At 40.3% G+C, this 21916-nt stretch overlaps 1 long non-coding RNA gene across 1 annotated transcript; it reads right to left on the bottom strand.

Moving 5' to 3' along the window:
- Positions 1–6176: 6176 nt before the first annotated feature.
- Positions 6177–10779, bottom strand: LOC124905323 (uncharacterized). Its single transcript, XR_007068535.1, has 2 exons — positions 10654–10779; positions 6177–6738 (listed from the first exon to the last, which is right to left on the bottom strand). It is a non-coding gene; the product is annotated as an uncharacterized LOC124905323 (long non-coding RNA).
- Between the last annotated feature and the right edge of the window lie 11137 nt (positions 10780–21916).

Raw genomic sequence — 21916 nt, 5'->3', positions numbered from 1 at the left:
GATCTAAAATAAAGGAAAAAAGGAGCAGATTAAACCCAAAGTAAGAATAGGAAAATAAATTGTTGCAGAAATCAATGAAATTGAAAACAGAAAAATCAAGAGAATATTATTAACAACAAAGCTGATTCTTTTAAAATATTATTAACAACAAAGCTGCTTTTTTAAAAAGCTGGTTCTTCAATAAAATTTAAAACCCTAGAGCCAGGCTAAGAAAAAAAAGGACAGAAACTAATAATATCAGAAATGAAAGAGGGGATACCACTACACATCCTGTGGACATTAAACGGATAATGAGGAAATACTATGAACAACTCTGTGCACACATCTGATCATCTAGTTCAAATGGACCGCTTCCTTGACAGACACAATTTACTGAAACTCACACAAGAAGAAACACACAATCCGAATAACCTATTATTTTAATAACCTTCAAAACAGAAAGTACCTGATCGGGATGTATTCATTGGGAAATTGACCAAATATTTCAGGAAGAAATTATACCCATTCCCCACAATCTATTTCAGATGATAGAGGCTGTTGGAATGCTTCCTAGTTCATTATGTGAGGCCAGAATTATTCCAAAGACATTTCAAAATAGAAAACCACAGACCATTATCTCTCATGAAAATACATACAAAAATCCTCAAAAACACTAGTACATCGAATCCAACAATATATAGAAAGAATCATACACCATCACCAAGTGGGATTTATTCTGGAGATAGCAGGCTGGTTCAACATTTGAACATCAATTAATGTAATTCATTACATCAAGAGAGTGAAAAGGAAAAATCACATGATCAGGTGCACAAAAAGCAGTTGACAAAATCCAGCATTCATTCATGATAAAATCTCTCAATAAGCTAAGAGGGGAACTTCCTGAAATTAATAAAGAATATCTACAGAAAACTACAGCAAACATCATAATTAATAATGAGAAACTCAAAGCTTTTCCACAATATCAGGAGGAAGAAAAAGATGTATTCTCTCAGCATCCCTTTCAATATCATACTGAAAATACTAGCTAATGCAATGAGTCAAGAAAATACAATTAAAGGCATATAGATTGGGAAGGAATAAATAAAACTTTGTTCACAGATGACAGGATTGTCTATGCAGAAAATCTAAAAAATTTAAAAAAAAAGAAAGAAAAAAGAAAAACGACCAAACCGAAAAAAAAACCCTCCTGGAACTGAAAAGCAAGATCACAGAATACAAGATTAAAAGAGAAAGTCAATCACTTTCCAATGCACCAACAACAACCAAGTGCAATTTGCTATGAAAACACAGTACTACTTATATTTAGCACCCAACAGATGAAACACTTAACGTATAAATTTAGCAAATGTAACAAGATCTATATGAGGAATACAATAACACCTTAATAAGCAAAATAAAAGTAAACCTGATTCTAAAGTTCACATGGAGAAGCAAAAGGCCAAGAATAGTCAATCACTGAAGAACAAAGTTGGAAGACAAACACTGCCTAACTTTAAGCCTTATTCATTAATCAAAACACTGTGTTATTACCCAAAAGTAGGCAAAAATAACAATGGAACAGGATAAATAGCCCAGAAATACACCCACCTAAATACACTAAACTGATACAATAAAGCAAAGTTGCTGTTTTCAACAAATGGCATGGGGACAACTAGAAATCCACATTAAAAAAAAAAAACCTGAATCTAGACATAGATCTTATGCCCATCACAAAAATTAACTCAAAATGGGTCACAGACTTCAATGTAAAATGCGAAAGTTATAACTGTAGAAAATAACAAAGGAAAAAACTTAGATTATCCTGGGAAAGGTAATGACTTTTTAGATATAACACCAATGTCAAGATCCATTTTAAAATGATTCATAAACAAGACTTCATTAAAATTGAAAACTTCTGTTCTGCAAAAGCCAATGTCATGAAAATGAGAAGAAAAGCCACAGATTGGGAGAAAATATTTGCAAAAGACACACCTGAGAAAGGGACTGTTCTACAAAACATCTGATAAAGAGACTTACACAAAACATCTGAGAAAGAGACCGTTCTACAAAACTTCTGAGAAAGACTGTTATACAAAACATCTGATAAAGAGACTGTTACACAAAACATCTGAGAAAGAGACTGTTATACAAAACATCTGAGAAAGAGACTGTTACACAAAACATTACAAAAACTCTTAAAACTCACATCTGATAAAGAGACTGTTACACAAAACAATCCAAAAACTCTTAAAACTCACATCTGATAAAAAGGCTGTCACATAAAATACTCCAAAAACTCTTAAAACTCTACAGTAAGAAAACCACCTAATAAAATAGACCAAAAACCTTAACAGATACCTCACCAATGATGAGAAACATATAGGAAATAAACATATAAAAGAATGCATTATATTGTGTAACATTAGGGTAACATATTAAAACAATGAGATACCGCTACATACCTAGTAGAATGGCCATAATAAAGAGCACTGACAACAACTGACAGTGAGAATGCAGAGCAACAGGAACTCTCATTCAGATTGTGGAAATGCAAAATGGTACAGTCACTCAGTTGGCGGACAATTTGGTTGTTCTTACAAAAGTAAACATATTCTTACCATATGATCCAGCAACTGCACCTCTTGGTATTTACCCAAAGGAGGTGACAATAAACACTAGCATAAAAACCTGTAAACAGAAATTTATAGCAGCTTTATTCAAAATAACTAAAATTTGGAAGCAACCAAGATGTCCTTCAGTAAGTGAATGAATAAACTATGGTACACACAATGGAACATAATTCAGCACTAAAAAGAAATGGGCTATCTTGTCCTCAAAAGATAAGGAGGAACCTTAAATGCATATTACTAAGTAAAATAAGGCAGTCTGAAAATGCTACTTACTATATAACTGCAACTATGTAACATTCTGCAAAATGATGGAGATGGTTTGCAGGGTTAGGAGGATGATGAGTAATAAACAGGAAGAGCAGGGATGACTTTTAGAACAAAGTGTTCTGTGAGGTACTATAAGACTGGATACATGTCATTATACATTTACTCAAACCCATAGCATGTAAAACCACAAGAGTAAACCCTAATGTAAACTATGGCCTTTGGACAACTGTGATGTCTCAATGTAGGTTCCTCATTTTAACAAAGGTACTACTATGGTGGGGGGAGGTTTTGAAAAGGGCGAAGGCTACATATATATGTGGATCACAGTATATGGGAAATCTATGTACTTCTTAATTCTGCTGTGAAATTAAAACTGCCTTAACTAATAAAGTATATTTATTTTTAAAAAGAATTTAACCATCTAAAAATGTTTTAATAATAAAAATTAAATCAATATTAAAAACCACTTCCCCATTTGTAATAAGAACTCTCAATAATAATGAATGTATAAAGAAAATGTGGTCTATACATGCAATGAAATATTACTCAGCCTTAAAAAGGAAGAAAATCTTGCCATTTGCCAAAACATGCACATACCAGAAAGATATTGTGCTAAGAAATAAGCAAAACAGGAACAAAGTATTACATAATCCCATCTGCAATAGTCAGGATGTATGTATTCCCCTCAAATTCCTATGTTGAAATCTAATCACCAAGGTGATAGTATTAGAAGGTGAGGCTTCAGGGGAGTGATGAGGTGAGGGCTCTTCCCTCTCGAATGGACTGGGAGTGCATTCATTCACTGACACTCTTTTGCCTTCCACCATGTAAGGATGCAGGATGAAGTCTCTCGTCAGGCACCAGATGACAGTGCCTTGATCTTGGACTTCCCAGCCTCCAGAACTGTTAAGAATAAATTTCTGTTCTTTATTAAATACCAAGCCTGAAGTATTTTGTTGTTCCAGCACAAATGAAGCCATACTTCCTGTACAGCCTGTGGAACTCCATGTATATAAAAATGTAAAACAGTTAAACTTACAAAGACATAGAGCTGAATCGTGGTTACCAAGGGCTGAGAGGGAAGGGTAACTGGGGAGGTATTTGTCACAGAGTATAAGTTTTAGTTATGCAATGAGTAAGTTCTAAATATGGAATCTACAGATCAAAGCATGTAGTTAATACGGAATTGCATATTTAAAAATTTGTTAAGAGGATGGTATGGTTTCAATCTGTTTACTTGCCCAAATCTCATGTCAAATTCTAAGCCTCAAGGCTGGAGGAGGGGCCTGGTGGGAGGTGACTGGATCAAGGGGCAGACTTGCCCCTTGCTGTTCTCGTGTTAGTAAATTCTCATGAGATCTGGTTGTTAAAGGTGTACAGCACCTCCCCTTTCACCACTCACTTCTGCTCCAGATACATAGAACGTGCCTGCTTCCCCTTCATCTTACACCATAACTGTAAGTTTCCTGAGGCCTCCCCAACCATGCTTCCTGTACAGCCTGTGGAACTGTGAGCCAATTAATCCACTTTTTTTATAAATTACCCAGTCCGAGGTAGTTTTTTATAGCAATGAGAGAACGGACTTATGCAGAGAATATATGTTATGTCAAATGGTTGCATCCCAAAAGGGGCGGGGAGGGGGGGAGGGAGAATTTCGTGGAGGCAAAAGTTGTTTATTGCACTGTTTGTGGTGACAGTTCCATGGGTGAATACTTACCTCTACAGGTAAGTATATTTTGCATGTGGGAGGAATGTAAATAATTTGTAGCCAGAGGGAAAACTGTGGTTTATTAAAGACTGCTACAGATTCTCACTATTCCTTTTATTGAGAGGTAGAAGCTAATTACTCTGTAATCTAAAACCGTGTGTAAAGGAAGAGAGAAGGTTGTAATTTTATTTTAGATTTGTTAAGCTTGAAGTGCCTTTCGGATAGCTACAAAGAATCATTTAATGGAGAGTTGAACCTGTGGTCTAGAGCAGTGATACCCAACCTTTTTGGCACCAGGTTTTGTGAAAAATTTTTTCCATATACCAGGGTGTGAGGGGGGATGGTTTTGGGATGAAGCTGTTCATCAGGCATTAGATTATCATAAGGAGCAGGCAACCTAAATCCCTCACATGCATAGTTCACAATAGGGTTCATGCTCCTATGAGAATTTAATGCTGCCATTCATCTGACAGGAGGCAGAGTGCAGGCAGTAATGTTTGCTTGCCTGACATTCACTTCCTGCTGTGCAGCCCAGTTCCTCACAGGCCACAGACTGGACCGGTCCATGGCCTGGGGGTTGGGGATCCCTGGTCTAAAGGTCGGAGAAGTCCATGCTGGAGATAAACACAACTGCTACACCACAGAGAGCAGAACTGGTAAAAAAAAAACAAACAAACAAACAAACAACAACAAAAAAAGAACTGCACAGTGGGATGGGTGGGGAATTGGATGAAACAATTGGATAAGCTATGTAAAGAAGAAGTAGAAGAATTCAGGAAAAAAAGACAAGCAGCATCAGTGAGGTCATGATAGAAACTAACACAGAAGATTTCCAGGAGAAGATCATGAACAATAATTTGAAATGCAGGAGTCCCCCTTTATCCATGGGGGATACATTCCAGGTCCCCTAGCAGATCCGTGAAACTGTGTATAGTACCAAACCTTATATACACTATGTTTTTTCCTATATATACATACCCTTGACAGTTTAATTTATAAATTAGGCACAGTATGATATTAACAACAATAAAATGGAACAACATACTATACTAAAAGTTATAGGAATGTGGTCTCTCAAAATATCTTATTCTACTGTATTCAACACATTCAAAATAATAAAATATTCAAGATATTCAAAATATCTTATTGTCTTTTCTGTCTACAGTTGACTACAGGGAACTGAAACCACAGAAAGCAAAACTGTGGATAAGGGGGATTACTGTACGGCATAAGATTCAAGTAAGGCAGACTGGAGAATAGCCATTGGAGTTGCATATAATTTAGGTTAATGGTGAGCATTAGAATAAACCAATTAAGACTACACTGAATGAAAGTGCAAGTGAATAGTGGACATATTTGTCAGAAAATACAATTGTGAACAATCTGCTATAAATTCTCCATGTATAGATGAATTGACAGAAACGTATGGGGGGTTAGTTAAGGACCTGTGGTCAACTCAATCCTCCAGATGTTCTAGGTTTTAGCCATGAATCAAGTAGGGCCTTCCAAAAGCTGTCTGGGACTGCAAAGTTTTAGCAACTCCAGAAAAACCTCATTACGGGAGTTATGCTTTAGCACTAAGTGACTCTTTCTACTGCAAAATGCTAAAAGTATTTATTTCCAGGTTGGCAGTAAAAAAAACTTTTCACTACATCATCTCTGTGACCAATGCAGTCAGTGTTCCAGACTTTGGTGACAGCAAGTCTTCCTGTCCCATGAGAATGCAGCATGCACTCCTTCCAGGTTCCATTCCAATCATGTAACAAACGTGACTGCCTTTTTGTTGCAGCATCAGAAAGACCAGAGACACATTTGTACTCCAGTTCCATGGCTTATAACCTGCATATGTCTACATGCCAGCATTATTTTATTTATGTGCATTTCCTTTGACGTGAATTTTACTTATTTCTATTTTTTCATTTTAATCCGTGGACTCCATAAAGGCAAAAAATACAATGTAAAACAAAGAGAGGAATATATAAACAAATGACTCACAAGAGATTTGTTCATCTTTTGTTGATTGTGGAAATGCACAGAGCACTCTGGAAACATAGCTGGGAGAACAGTCGAATGGAGTGGGTTAAAGCAGAGAACCGGTGTGGCTTGGTCCTAGATTCTCTTGCCCAAAACGCTCTACACAATAGCTGGAAAAGACTAAAACAACAACAAAACCTCCCTGTGACAGAATAGTCATTCATGCCTCAATAAGGGACAACAAATATGCCACTGAAAATGTACCCACAAGTACATTAATTAGTAGAGATACATACAATTTATTTTGGGATTAATGAAAACATGTATTACCTACTGATTTAGGGACAATTAATTTATCCAAAGAAACAATGTAATAACTTAAACCAAAGAAATATACATTTAGTCTTCAATGAAATTAATACTGTAGAAATATAATTCAGCTGCATTAACAATTTCACTACTAATATGGAGATTCTACATGATTCCATATAGGTGTTTCCACTAGAATATATCTTGCTTTTATACCTTCGCATCATTGAAAGGATTCATGTTTTATATATCTACGTATCACTGAAAGGATGCATCTTTTATATACCTAAGCATCATTGAAAGGATGCATCTTTTATATACCTACGCATCATTGAAAAGATGCATCTTTTATATACCTACGCATCATTGAAAGGATGCATCTTTTATATACCTGCACATCATTGAAAGGATGCATCTTTTATATACCTAAGCATCATTGAAAGGACGCATCTTTTATATACCTAAGCATCATTGAAAGGATGCATCTTTTATATACCTAAGCATTATTGAAAGTATGCATCTTTTATATACTTAAGTATCATTGAAAGTATGCATCTTTCATACACTTACACATCATTGAAAGGATGAATCTTTTATATACCTAAGCATCGTTGAAAGGATGCATCTTTTATATATCTACTTATTATTGAAAGGATGTATGTTTTATATACCTAAGCATCACTGAAAGGATGCATCTTTTATATACCTACTCATCATCGAAAGGATGCATCTCTTATATACCTATGCATCATAGAAAGGATGCATCTTTTATATCTCTAAGCATCATTGAAAGAATGCATCTTGCAGCCCAACATTTTCTGCCCACGATTATATAGGGGGAAAAATGTACATAGTGTATATTTCTTGGGATATACTGTTTTAGTAATGTTTCTTAGTGACAAGTCTCCCAGTATCTAAGACTTCATAGAGTGTGCTCTGATAATGAATGGGGTTCTGCCATTTGAGTTGCTTCGGCCAATGGGACATAGAAAATATGATGAAAATATAGGTTGGAAAAGTACTTGCCCACTGGTGCTTGCCTTCTTGGACAAGTGTCAGCATGAACCACCAGACATGTGAGTGAAGGCACCAGATGACTAAAGCCTCATTTGTGATCCAGACAACATTAGCAAAGGAAATGCCCAGGTGAACACAAGCTAAAATGTGAATCAACAGAACTTCTATCAAATAAAATGGTCACTTCTTTTTAAGCCATTGAGTTTCGTTAGTTCTTTAGACAGAAAACAGTAACTGATACACCTAAGCCACCAGAACTCAATGTTTTTAAGAAAATCATGTGAAGGAGATAATGTGAAATTACTTGTCAAATACAATCACTAGAACGTCACAACCTCATGTAGAAGTTTTGCAAATCACAATAAATGCCAACTTGATGGAAATCAGTGAGACTGCTGGTTCTAAGAGACCATGTTAATCATAAAAAGCTACTCTTTGCATATTAGTAAATTGTGTTTTAAAGTTCTTTACATCATAAAAATGTCTGTTGACTTTAAAAAAACATAATACACAAAAAGGATCTCTTACGAGTGAGCATTGTACGGTATTTTACTTACATTTTAAGATACTGGTTGGAATAGAAGTGAGACACTGTCTAATATTCCCTTTTTAAGTATGTAAAATATGCTATTGTTTTCCTACAGAATTTATAATTTCCAAGAACAGATTACTGACACTGAGCAGGAAACACTTGTTATTTGTCCTTGAGGTCACATAATTCACAGAAAGAGTTGGGGATAAAAAGGAACAGAGATGGTTAAGGAAATGTTTCTGCTTGGTTGGTTGGTTGGTTTTGAGACAGAGTCTCATTCTGTCACCCAGGCTGGAGTGCAGTGGCACAACCACAGCTCACTGTAACTTCACCCTCCTGGGCTCAAGTGATCTTCCCACCTCAGCCCCCCAAGTAGTTGGGGCCACAAATGGATGCCACCACAACCAGCTAAAATTTTTTTTTTTTTTTGTAAGCACATTGGGTCTCCCTATGTGGCCAAGGCCAGTCTCAAACTCCTGGGCACAAGCGATCCTCCTGTCTTGGCCTCCCAAAGTGCTATGATTATAGCTGTGAGATACTACGCCCGGCAAGGGAAAGTACTTTATTATTATTTTTTCCAGCGTGAGGGGTGGGCAGGCAGGGAGGGGCTGAGAAAGTACTTTAAAGCAATATTTGTTCTTAGTTGACTTCAGTGTCAACAAAAATCTAAAAAAAAAAAAAGTTTTGACTTAATTGGGGCAAAATGAATAACACTAGCCAAAAAGTCAGGATGCATAACATCTGTATATCATGTGACCCTGGCAAGTCACAGCTCCTCAAAGCCAAATTTTTTCCATCATTCTCACAAGGTAGAAATAGTTTGGCTAACCCTTACTGAACTACCAGGAAAAGCTACCAGGTTAGAGGGAGCTTCAGCATATCACTGAATGCTAAATTTAGTGACTGGACGCTAAATTTCGTGACAGAACTTTTTTTTTTTTTTGAGAGACAGAGTCTCACTCTGTTGCCCAGGCTAGTGTAGGGTGGCACAATCTCGGCTCACTGCAACCTCCGCCTCCCCAGTACAAGTGATTTTCTTGCTTGAGTTTCCCAAGTAGCTGGGACTATACAGGTGTGCACCACCACACTCAGGTAATTTTTGTATTTTTTAGTAGAGACAAGGTTTCACTATATGTTGGCCAGGCTGGTGTCGAACTGCTGACCTCAGGTGATCCTCCTGCCTTGGCCTAGACTACTTTTAAGAAAGTTCAGCCACTGGAAACAGTGAGAAAAGGTTGAAGGAATGAAAGTGTCTTTACAGAGTACTCCAGACAGATCCTCTCAAGTATAACAGGATATTTTTCCACCGAAGACCAAACTATTAAGTCCCCTCCAACAAGTAACATCTCTTTGGCCCTTGCCTGTCATTCACAGCCAAACTCCCCTCTTCCTTCTGAATGTTGGTCTAAACCTTCCACTACCACCCAGTGTTTGAGAGCTATTGGATAAGGTCTTATCAACCAAATCTGGGCCATTCTGGGGAGTGGGAAAATAACTGCTTGGGTCATACAAACTGGAATCTTCACCTGTGACACCTCCTCTGCTTTGAAGTACCAGTGAGAGGGTTAGTCCAAAGAGGTGTTCTTTTTGGTGGGATTCCTAAAAGGCGCCCACCTCGAAACTTTGTAACACCTACTTTATTACAAAGAAAACAGGACCATCATCTAGGACCCCCAACTTCCCTAGAAACCAGATCTTGTATAAACTCCTATAAACTAAAGCGGGGATGGGATGCGTAGGAAGGTGACACAAGCAGAATCTTCACTTGCTGAAAACACACCGGGAAACCCTACTAATACACTCGCCAGGTAGTAGGATTGTGTGCACGCACTTCGTACTCCTCGTCTGGGAATGAGGGGCATCTCCCTACAACTGTCCGTATGCTGACCTTACAAGGGCGTGCACGGAATGCCACACAAGGTCCATGCAGTGCCAGAGCGCAGCCTCCCCGCAGACCTCCCAGGCTCGGCCAGCCTGCAGACCCCGTCCCTGCGCCACCGGCTTCACCCACCCACTCCGGTGTCTCTGGAACTGGCTTCAGTACTGGGATCCCACGCCCGCCCTCCCAGCAGCGCCACCCTTTCAGCCCCAGCCTGGGTCCGCGGCCCGCACCTGTGCGTCAGGCCCCGTCCCCTGAGATGTGCCCACGCCTCTGCTCCCACCAACTGTGGCACGTCAGCCCCGCCTCCCTATGGTGCCTCCAAGCCCGCTGTCTCCTGTTTCATCCTGCCACCAACCTGCAGGGATGAAGACCCCAATGCCAGAGCTTCCAGAGCAGCCTCTCCATTGCAGCAGGAGCCGGGATTCTCTGGCGGAAGATGGCGTGCATAGGCGGGGTGGCACATGCGCAAAGAGCCCTTCCCGCCGCCCTGTGCTGGTGACGTCATTGGAAGCCGAGACTGCATTTCCCACGAGACATTGCGGTATTGAGGCGGGAAATTCTGTTCCAAGCGGGAGCGGAGGATGGATCGGGATTGGTGTCTATCCGCCTGACTGAGGTGGAATCTGGTTACTAAATCCTGGTTTGACAACCAGGCACATTGCGGGAATGTTGGGAAAATTCGAATGTGGGCCAACTAGTCAATTATATTGGCAAGTAATCTTACTTTTTTTTTTAGTTCTAAGTGTTGCTGTCACAGAAAAAACTTTTTTTTTTCTTTTTAAACGGATTCTCCCTCTGTCTCCCAGGCTGGAGTGCAGTGGTGGGATCTCAGCTCACTGCAGCCTCCACCTCCCAGGTTCAAGTGATTCTCCTGCCTCAGCCTCCAGAGGAGCTGGGACTACAGGCATGCGCCACCACGCCTGGCTAATTTTTGTATTTTTAATAGAGATGGGGTATCCCCATGTTGGCTAGGTTGGCCTTGAATTCGTGGCCTCAAGTGATCTGCCCACCTTGGCCTTCAAAAGTGCTGGAATAGAGGACTCGAGAGACTAGAGAGACCTATATGGAGAACAGGACGATTGTTTATTTTAGGGTATGTAGGGTCCAGCCCCACAGGGTTGGTGGGTTTTCTCCTCGTGTGCAGAGACAAGAGAGCATAGAAATAAAGACACAAGACAAAGAGATAAAAGAAAAGACAGCTGGGCCCGGGGGACCACTACCACCAAGACACGGAGACTGATAGTGACCCCAAATGCCAGGCTATGCTGATATTTATTGGATACAAGACAAAGGGGCAGGATAAGGAGTGTGAGCCATCTCCAATGATAGGTAAGGCCACATGGGACATACGTCCACTGGACAGGGGGCCCTTTCCTGCCTGGCAGCCAAGGCAGAGAGAGAGAGAGGAGAAAGAGAGAAACAGCTTACATTATTATTTCTGCTTATCAGAGACTTTTAGTACTTTCACTAATTTGCTACTGCTAACTAAATGGCAGAGCCAGGAGTACAGGATGGAACATGAAGGTGGACTAGGAGAATGACCACTGAAGCACAGCATCACAGGGAGATGGTTAAGCCTCTGGATAAAGCGAGTGGGCCTGGCCCTCCACAAGAGGTGGAGGAGTAGAGTCTTCTCTAAACTACCTGGGAAAAGGGAGACTCCCTTTCCCTGTCTGCTAAGTAGCAGGTGTTTTTCCTTGACACTAACGCTACCGCTAGACCATGGTCCGCTTGGCAACTGGCGTCTTCCCAGACGCTGGCATTACCACTAGACCAAGGAGCCCTCTGGTGGCCCTGTCCAGGTGTAACAGAAGGCTTGCACTCTTGTCTTCTGGTCGCTTCTCACTATGTCTCCTCAGCTCCTATCTTTGTATGGCCTGGTTTTTCCCAGTTTATGATTATAGAGCGAGGATTATTATAATATTGGAATAAAGAGTAATTTCTACAAACTAAAGATCAATAATATTCATATATAATCATATCTAAGATCTATATCTGGTATAACTATTCTTATTTTATATTTTATTATGCTGGAACAGCTCGTGTCCTCAGTCTCTTTCCTCAGCACCTGGGTGGCTTGCTGCCCACAGGGTATGCACTGGATTCATGGATTCATATCTAAAAAGCTGAGCATTGAACAAAGACTGAGCGGGGCTTTTCTAAGCAAATTTACAGAAGCGAAACAAAAACAGTTAATCATACAGTGACAGGTCACGTAATCTATAGCATAACTGTTGACTTGGCATAACTTGTGGCCTTGCATAGCTAGTGGCCTTGTAGCTGCATCAAAAGAAAAATAAGAACTGGCTAAATACAGAAATTTGTAAAACATCATCATGCTTAAGAAGTCAGGGAAAGAAATAACAGTAAAGGAATTTGTCTTTCTCTCTTGCTTTTTTTTTCTTTTAACTTTGCTCTGGAAGTGGGGGTGGTCTGGAGCCTATTCCTCTGGCCTTGGCTTCTCTAACAGTGTTATAACTGTCTTTGAAGTGAGCTTACTAGGCAGAGGAAAACTTGTTCTTTTCTTTTTAACCTTTGCTTTGCCTGTTGCTTTTCTTGGAGTGAATGAATGCATATTTATTTTTAAATTTCTGCCTCAGTTTCCTCCTTTTGATGCCTTTTATAAAAGAATTTTAGTAGAAGGCATCACTATTACTTAATTCTGCCTGAAGAGACAAGTTTTCTTCTTTAGGCACAGGCTGATATTTATATAGATCCATTAGCTGAGTGGTAGTTTGCCTAGCTACTGTTGCCTCTATAGCTGATTGAGTGCTTCTAACAAGGAGGGTTAAGAGGCAAGGGAGTATTGGGCAAACCCTTAGTATGGCCAGGACTATTCTTATTAAAGTCTTGAATCCACTGAAGGAGGAAAACCAGCCTCCAAAGAGGGAATCTGAAGACTACCTTTTCCAAGTTTGAACTGGAACATGGGGTAATTCTCTCATTCTTGCAGTTATTTCTATAATTGCCTTTCCATTGTCATCAATTTCCAGGCAGAAATTAGTTAGATTTAACTTTCCACATACCCCTGCTTCCTGGGCTAGGAGGTAGTCTAAAGTTAATCTGTTCTGATAAATAGCATTCTTCATTTTTGTGGCTTGCTGGGCCATTAAATCTAATGCATTTGCTGTTTCATTAGTGATCCTTTGCTGCCTGCAAACTTATGATGTGGCTAAGCATGTAAATAGGAGTGCAGTACCCTCATGACCTATCTTTTGCCTAGGTAGCTGGCCTATAGTATTGCATTATTCTTTCAGGGGGCCAATCTGTGTCTTTCTAATTTCTTTTTTCTATATCCCTTTTTATGTCTGCATCTCTTTTGCTTCTTCTTCTAACTTCATCATAGACGGGATACCTTAAAGTTTCTCCCTGTTGCAGTGGGAGTAGGAAGAAAGATGGTCTAATTGTTTCAAACACACAGGACTTTGTCCATTTAGCTGGCAACTGTCGATATGCCTGTGGCTTACAGATGCCAATAAAGACCAAGGGGTGCTTTCCAAGTATTTGGAGCTTCAAGTTGATACCAGGTGTGGTTTAGAGGAGAGAAACAGGAGAATGGATTTGGATGAGGTGCTTTGGAGTCATCTCTGCCTCGCCACAAAATTTTCTTTAGTGTTTCATTATAATATTGCTGTCCTAAGCAGGTTAGTTCTCCTACTGCGTCTGTAAAAGCCTTTCTTCAGGGAGCAACACAGTATCTCCTGATAATAGAAGTTTTAAGAGCTAGACACTTGAACTTGTGGGCATCAGTTCAGGGGAAGAGTCTGTTAGAGTTAAATTATCTTGTGGCATTAACTCTTTTGCTTCCTAAGGCCATTGGTCTCCTACGTTAGTCTTTCTACAAACATAACGAAATGCCTAGGCTGCCAGCAGTGTTTTCAACCAGCTAAGCACACAGGTTTTTGGCTAAAGGAGTAGGCTCTGGTAACTTCTGGTCTACATGCTTATAGAATGATTTAAAGAGTTGAAACTGTTGCTGGGCTGGATGGTTCTGGGTTCTTTTTTGATAACATATAGGTAGATTGCTGGGTATGTGTGTATATACATATGTATGGGGTAACCTGCAGTCTACATGGGTAAGTCTAGATTTAGAATGGTGAAATTTATAGAATTACAGGTTTTTCCTTCACAATCTGGTTTCACCGGCATTTTGGTAAGCATAATTGACCTTTGCTGTGTGCTAGGGTGCTACAATATGCAATGCCAACAATCTTTTTCTGGGGTCCTAGGGGAACAAGGTGGAGTTACTCTTGGCATGCATACGTATTTGTAGTCATTTCTATAGTATCTTTCTAAAGGTAGGTTACCACAGACAGGGGAGTCTTGGTCTGCTGCCTGACAAGCATCAAAATACAGAGAAATAGGCCCTTGGTAAAAGGGAGGGACCCTGGTTTGGTTTAAGAGGGGACCATCCTTTGATCCCGCATGATGAGTCTCTTGGCAATATTTCTTCAGTAGCTGCTTGAGCGTCTGGTTCATGTGTTCTACTTTTCTTGAACTTTGCAGCCGGTAGGCTGTGTGTAACTTCTATTTTATTTTTAACAGTCTTGTTAAATCTTGCACTATTTCAGTTACAAATGCTGGCCTATTGTCTGACTTTAAAGTTAGAGGCTGTCAAAACCTGGGGATAATGTCTTTTAGTAGTACTTTAGTCACTTCTTGTGCTTTTTCTGTCCTGGTGGGGAAAGTCTCAACCCATCCTGAAAAAGTGCAAATAAACGCTAGCATATACTGATAGCCTCTGGCATGGGGCATTTTGGTAAAGTCCATAAGCAAGTTTTCACAAGGCACGAAGGCATGGCTCCTTCTCCTGTTCAGTTTCTTAGAGGAGGGGTTCTTTTTTTCTCTCTCTCTTTTTCTTTTTTTGTAATTTCATATAATGGCTTAGCCATCAGTGAGAAATTTATAATCTAGATACAGCAGAATCTTGCTGCTTTCAACTTCTCAAGTGACGATGGGCTCTTGGAGGCCTAATGAGAAGGAGCATGGTCTGTTTTAGTCCTCACATCTTTCAGCTCCTGCTAGCCTGATCAGATCAGTATCTGGTTCCTCTAAGGTGTGGCAGCCTTTGGCCAATGGCCTCTTTGTCTCACGGCCTTGGCCATTTCTTTCATTGCCTTCTGGACATTCATCTTTCTAGTGTCCTTTCTTTTTGCATCTCGCACACTGATACTTCTCTAGCCTTGGTCAACTTTCAAATCCTTGTCTAACTTGACTTCTTCTACATCCAAGTCTGCGTCCACGTCAAATTACATTGCTAATCTCTTTTTCTATAAGGGCTGCTGCCAACAGATCTTAAGCCTCCAATTTGCTTCTTTCTTTGCCTCCTGGTCACTGTTAACATACACTTTGGTGGCTACTTCTACAAGCTGGGTGACATTCATACCTGCAAAACTTTCTATCTTTTCTTTCTTTCTTTCTTTCTTTCTTTCTTTCTTTCTTTCTTTCTTTCTTTCTTTCTTTCTTTCTTTTCTTCTTCTTCTTCTTCTTCTTCTTCTTCTTCTTCTTCTTCTTCTTCTTCCTCCTCCTCCTCCTCCTCCTCCTTCTTCTTCTTCTTCTTCTTCTTCTTCTTCTTCTTCTTCTTCTTCTTCTTCTTCTTTCTTCTTCTTCTTCTTCTTTTCTTCTTCTTCTTCTTCCTCTTTTCTTCTTTCTTCTTCTTTTCTTCTTCTTTCTTTTTTTTTGGACGGAGTTTCGTTCTGTCGCCCATGATGGAGTGCAGTGGCACGATCTTGGCTCATTGCAACGTCTGCCTCCTGGGTTCAAGCAATTCTCTTCCTCTGCCTCCCAAGTAGCTGGGATTACAGGCACCACCACCACACCTAGCTATTTTTTTTTGTATTTTTAGTACAGACGGGATTTCACCATCTTGGCCAGGCTGATCTTGAACTCCTGACCTCGTGATCCACCTACCTTGGCCTCCCAAAGTGCTGGGATTACAGGCGTGAGCCACCGTGCCCAGCCAAAACTTTCTAACTTCTTAGGCTTTAGTTTAATATCACTTTGGGCCTGTCCTACAAGTGACGTATTCACTATACACTGATTTTCAGTGGCCTCAGGGTCAAACGGGGTGAAAGCCTGTATGCCTCACAGAATCTTTCATAAAACTGGTTAGGGCTCTCAACACTTCCTTGAAGCACTTCTGAAATCTTCTTTATATTAATGGCTTTCTTTCCATCATCTCAGCCTTTGCAGAAGTGCCTCTTGGTACCTCTGCACATGCTGAAGCTGAGTTGCATCCCCTGGGTCCTAGTAAGGCTCTTGGTCTGGGAACTGATCTTGAGTGTATGCCTGAGCATGCACTGCATCTGCATTATGCCTGAGCATGCACTGTGCCTGCTGATGCCTGGGCTCCTAGCCAGCGTCTGGGAACTGACCTTGAGTGTGTGCCTGAGCATACACTGTCTGCTGATGCCTGGGCTTCTAGTCAGTGGAGAGCTTCCTGGCTTACTCTCCTTCATTCCTCAGTGTTAATGTGAGGAGGAGCTGCTGGCAGTCTGGTCAGCTTGGATTGTGTGTCAGAAAGATGGGTTGCATCAGATCTATAGGAGCTTGAGGCTTCTCCGTGTAGGAGGGAGTATGCTGTTTCCTGTTTAAAAGATCAGTGGTTGAAAAGGGCTGACTGATGAAAGTCCATTGCCTTGTTTGGACTTGGCCTTGGTCATCATAATAAATGGGTCCTCACGTCTCCTAGAGAGGCATTTGCAGAGCTTGAGCACCGCCAGATCTGAGACAGCCTGCTTGACTATCTTGAATTCCTTCCCTGACCTCTCAAAGCTCTGATCCTCCCTTTTGGGGTGACACTTGGGGCATGCTGGCTCTTAAGTCTGGCTCCTGGGGGACTGTTGGACTCAGTAAAGGGGGGTAGGCTGGGACATGTGGAGGACGAATCTCTGTTCTTTCTGGCAGCTCCTGTAAAACTGACTTTTCTTGCTCTCTTTGGGACTTCTTTAACTCTGTGTCTGCCAGTGAAGCTGCTCTTACTTTCACTCTTGGCTGGGCTCAGGCCACACGTGTTTCAAAATAAACTGCTAAACAGGGCTGGATCCAGGCTGGTCTTGTCTGTGCTATATTTAACCACGAATCAATATAAGGAAATTGATCTGGATGCCTTGGGTGTCCTCTGACTCTTGTCACCACCTTAAATACACAGTCAATTATTTCCTTATCTATAGTACCTTCGGTCGGCCATCTAACACTAAAAGGCCATTCTAATTCACAGAGAGTTCTCAACCTCTGTGGGGATAGCTTAACTACATAGTCCTCTGCAAAACCTTTCTTAAAGTTCTGTAACATTCACTCTAACAGGGTAAGTTTTGATGACTTTCTTCCTATTCTTTCTTTTATGGCACAGCACACTCTTTCCTCTCATTTCGGCCTAGTGTACCATCTCCTATTATGGGAGTTTTCAGAGGCTGCTTGGCTTTGGAGAGTTCCTTATTCCTGCTACAACTCTGAGCTGTAGGGCAGTTCTTATTAGCCATATGCAGATCGCTACTGTTTGTAGTCGGCCTTACACTTTGCTCGGAGCACACAGTCTATGATAAGAGATCTGTGACTCCTTACTTTGTGGCTGATGAGTTTAATTAGGTCTTTTCATTCACACACTTTCACTCACTTCTCTAATCCTAGTTCCTGTGTACCTAACTGGGGTGGCAAGCCACTCTCACCATGTCTAGTTTCTTTTTCTTAACTGAGTTAGCAAACCAGTCTCACATCTTGTGTTTGTTGGGGTGTGGGTTTCATCTGAATTGGTGAGCCTTTCTCACCGCCTTTAGCCTCTCTGGGTTGGACTATTAGGCACACCTTGGGAGGTGATCCAGCTCCTCTTCCATCCTTATGGGATGGGTCCTGCCTTGGGCCTTAAAACTTTACTGCAGTTCTTGAAGCGCACTGTTTCTGGAATCATCCTGGAGGCTTTCTTAAGGTTCTGTTGAGTGCTGGGTAGGGGCGCCGGGTCACGTGAAAGCTGATCTGCTCTCTGGGCTGAAGTTCTCCTGTTGGCGCCTGGGGCCACAGGTCTCCTGATGCCTGGGGCTCTAGCCCCTAGAGGCAAAGGAGACAGTAAACTTGCCATCTCCAATCCCTTCATGGTCGCCAAAAATGTTGCAGGGAACTGAGGACTAGAGAGACTGATATGGAGAACAGGAGGATTGTTTATTTAAGGTATGCTCCAGCTCAAGCATTTTTTTTCTTTTTTGAGATGGAGTCTGGCTGTGTTGCCCAGGCTAGAGCACAGTGGTGTAGTCTCAGCTCACTGCAACCTCCACCCCCTGGGTTCAAGCGATTCTTGTGCCTCAGCCTCCCAAGTAGCTGGTTTTACAGGCACACACCATCGCACCTGGCTAATTTTTGTGTTTTTGGTAGAGATGGGTTCTCACCATGTTGGTCATGCTGGTTTCAAACTCCTGACCTCAGGTGATCCACCCACCTTAGCCTCCCAAAGTGCTGGGATTACAGACATGTGCCACCATGCCTGGCCCACTTCTCCTTTTGTAATCTAGATGACTTACATTTATTTCTGTTGCCAAATTGTCCTGGCTAGCACCTCCAGCACAATGATGAATGGATGTAGTGAGAGTGGATTTATCTATCTTGTTCCTGATCTTAGGATATAAGTATACAGGCTTCCAACATTAAGTACTTTATTGGCTGTGGTTTTTCATATGCCCTTTATTAGTTTAAAGATGTTCCCTTCTTTCCTTCTTTGTTGAATATTTCATCATGAAAGGCTGTTGGATTTTGTTTCTGCAACTATTGAGATGACCATGGTTTTGCTTATTGTGTTGGTATAGTGTATTATATTAAATAATTGTTGACTGCTATCCAACCTTGTATACTTGGGATGAATCCAACTTGGTCATGAGGTATAATTATTTTTACATGTTGCTGTATTCTGTTTGTTTGCATTTTATTTTATTTTATTTATTTTATTTTTTGAGACAGAGTCTTGCTGTGTCACCAAGGCTGGGATGCAGTGGCAAGATCTCGGCTCACTGCAAGCTCCACCTCCTGGGTTCATGCCATTCTCCCTCCTGCCTTAGCTTCCTGAGTAGCTGGGACTACAGGTGCCCACCATCATGCCTGGCTAATTTTTTGTATTTTTAGTAGAGACAGGGTTTCACTGTGTCAGCCAGGATGGTCTCAATCTCCTGACCTCGTGATGCCCCCACCTCAGCCTCCCAAAGTGCTAGGATTACAGTCATGAGCCACCGCACCTGGCCTCTCTGTTTGCTTGTATTTTATTGAAGAGTTTTGCATCTGTATTCATAAGATATATTGGTCTGAATTTTTCTTTCCTCGTGATGTCTTTGTATGGCTTTGCTATCATGGTAATACTGGCCTCATAGAATGAGTTGGGGCATGTCCCTACCACTTCTATTTTTTGGAGAGTTTAAAAGAATTGATCCTAAATCTTCTTCAAATATTAGACAAAATTCACCAGTGAACTTTCTGGGCTAGGGCTTTTCTTGGTGTGGAGTTGTTTCTTTATTAATAATTCAAACTCTTTGCTTATTATGTCTAGTGAGAGCATTTTTTATTGCATCAGTGTCACTGGTTTGTGTCTAGAAATTTTTCCATTGTATCTAAGTTATCTAATATATTGGCCTACCATTGTTCATATTATTTTTCCTTAAATGTATTTTTCTTTTTGCAATGCTGCTAGTAATATATCCTCTTTCTTTTCTGATTTTAGTTACTTGAGTCTTCTCTCTATTTTTCTAGTCAGTGTAGAAAAATATTAGGAAAACTCCCTGTCAGAACTGAGCTATTCTACATAATGGAGAGGAAGCTCTCAGACCAAAGAAAGAGACAGACCACTCCAGGCTGGTAGATAGTCAAAGATTTATTCAGGAGGAACTTACTGGGATAGTCTTGGCAGCAGAAAGATGACACAGATCTCCACATTTGCAGTGCAGGCCTGTCTAACCTTTTATATCATGAAAATAACAAGGGAAAAAAGAAAAAAGCCATCTAAATTGCTTTCTTAATTTATTTACTTTCTCCTTAAAGGAATTGTTTGGGTTTCCTACAATCTGGTCAACATTTTTAGGTGAGGGGATGCAGGGGGATGATCCTAGCAACAGCAGTTATCTTGGTCCTCCAGTTCCTGTGTCCTACAACTCACTACTTCTTGGTTGTATACCCAAAATACATTTTCATGACAATAAGGTTTGTCAATTGTGTTAGGCTTGTTTGAATGTGCTTCTGGTTTCATTGTTTTTCTCTATTGCTTTTCTAGTCTCTGTCTCATTGGTTTCTGCTATGATCTTTATTATTTCCTTCCTTCTGCTTACTTTAGCTTCCATTTGCTCTCCTTTTCCCTGTGTCCTTATGTCAAAAGTTATGTTGTTGATTTGAAATAGTTCTCTTTTTTATTATCTGTATTTACAGCAATAAATTTCCTTGTAAGCATGTCTCTAATTGAATTTCATTAAGTTTTGTATGTTGTGACTTCATTTTCATTCCTTTAAGTATATTTTCAAATTTCTGTTTTGATTTCTTCTTTGATTAGTAATTTGGATGTGTGTTGTTTAATATCCACGTATTTGGGTTTCCCTACTTTTTTGTTATTAACTTCTAGTTTCACTCTATTGTGATTGGAGTACATACTGTTCAGTTCCTTTAATGGCCTAGTGTAGAGTCTATGATGGACAATGTTGATGAGCCCTTGAGAAGAATGTAGCTTCTCTTGTTGTGTGGAATGTTTTGCGTGTGCTTTTCAGGTCTAGCTGGACTATGAAGTTGTTTGAGTCTTCTGTTTCCCTGTTGCTCTTCTGCAGTTTTTCTATCCATTAGTCAAAGTGCAGTATTGAAGTCTCCACTCATCATCAATTTTAACTGTCATTTCTGTCAGTTTTTGTTTCATGTACTTTGGTGATGTTTAATTAGGTGCATATATGTTTATACTTGTGCTTTCTTTCTTTCTGATGGATTGGCCATTTTATTATTGTAAAATATCCCACATTATCTCTAAAAACAAAATTTTTTTTTAAGACAGAGTTTCTCTCTTGTCACCCAGGCTGGCATGCAATGGCGTGATCTCAGCTCACTGAGGAAATAATATAACTTTAACTCAACCTCCACCTCCCAGTTTCAAGCAATTCTCCTGCCTCTGCCTCCTGAGTAGCTGGGATTATACGCACATGCCACCACACCCAACTAATTTTTGTATTTTTAGTAGAGATGGGGTTCCACCATCTTTGCCGGCTGGTCTAGAATTCCTGAACTGAGGTGATCCGCCCACCTTGGCTACTCAAAGTCCTGGGATTACAGGCATGAACCATTGCACCTGGTCAGTTTTTTTTTTTAATTCATTGTGTCTGATATTAGTATGGCTGCTTTAGAATAGCTTTATCAGGGTTTCTGTTTGCATAATATATGTATTTACATCTTTTTACTCTATTTATATCTTTGAATCTAAAATGTTACTCTAGTAGATGGCATAGAGGATCTTATTTTTTATTGTCTGACAAGAATTAACTTTTGATTAGGTTGTTTAATCAAGTCATATTTAATATTATTATTGATATAGTTGGATCATATCAGACATTTAATTTTTGTTTTTTATTCCTCGTATGTCCTTTTAATTCTTCAGTCCTGTTTTCTGCTTCCTTTTG

This window comes from Homo sapiens (assembly GCF_000001405.40).
Source record: "Homo sapiens chromosome 14 unlocalized genomic scaffold, GRCh38.p14 Primary Assembly HSCHR14_CTG3_UNLOCALIZED".
NCBI classification, from domain to species: domain Eukaryota; kingdom Metazoa; phylum Chordata; class Mammalia; order Primates; family Hominidae; genus Homo; species Homo sapiens.
Note: the sequence above shows the minus strand (reverse complement) of the source record. Positions and strands in the feature narration are given on the sequence as shown.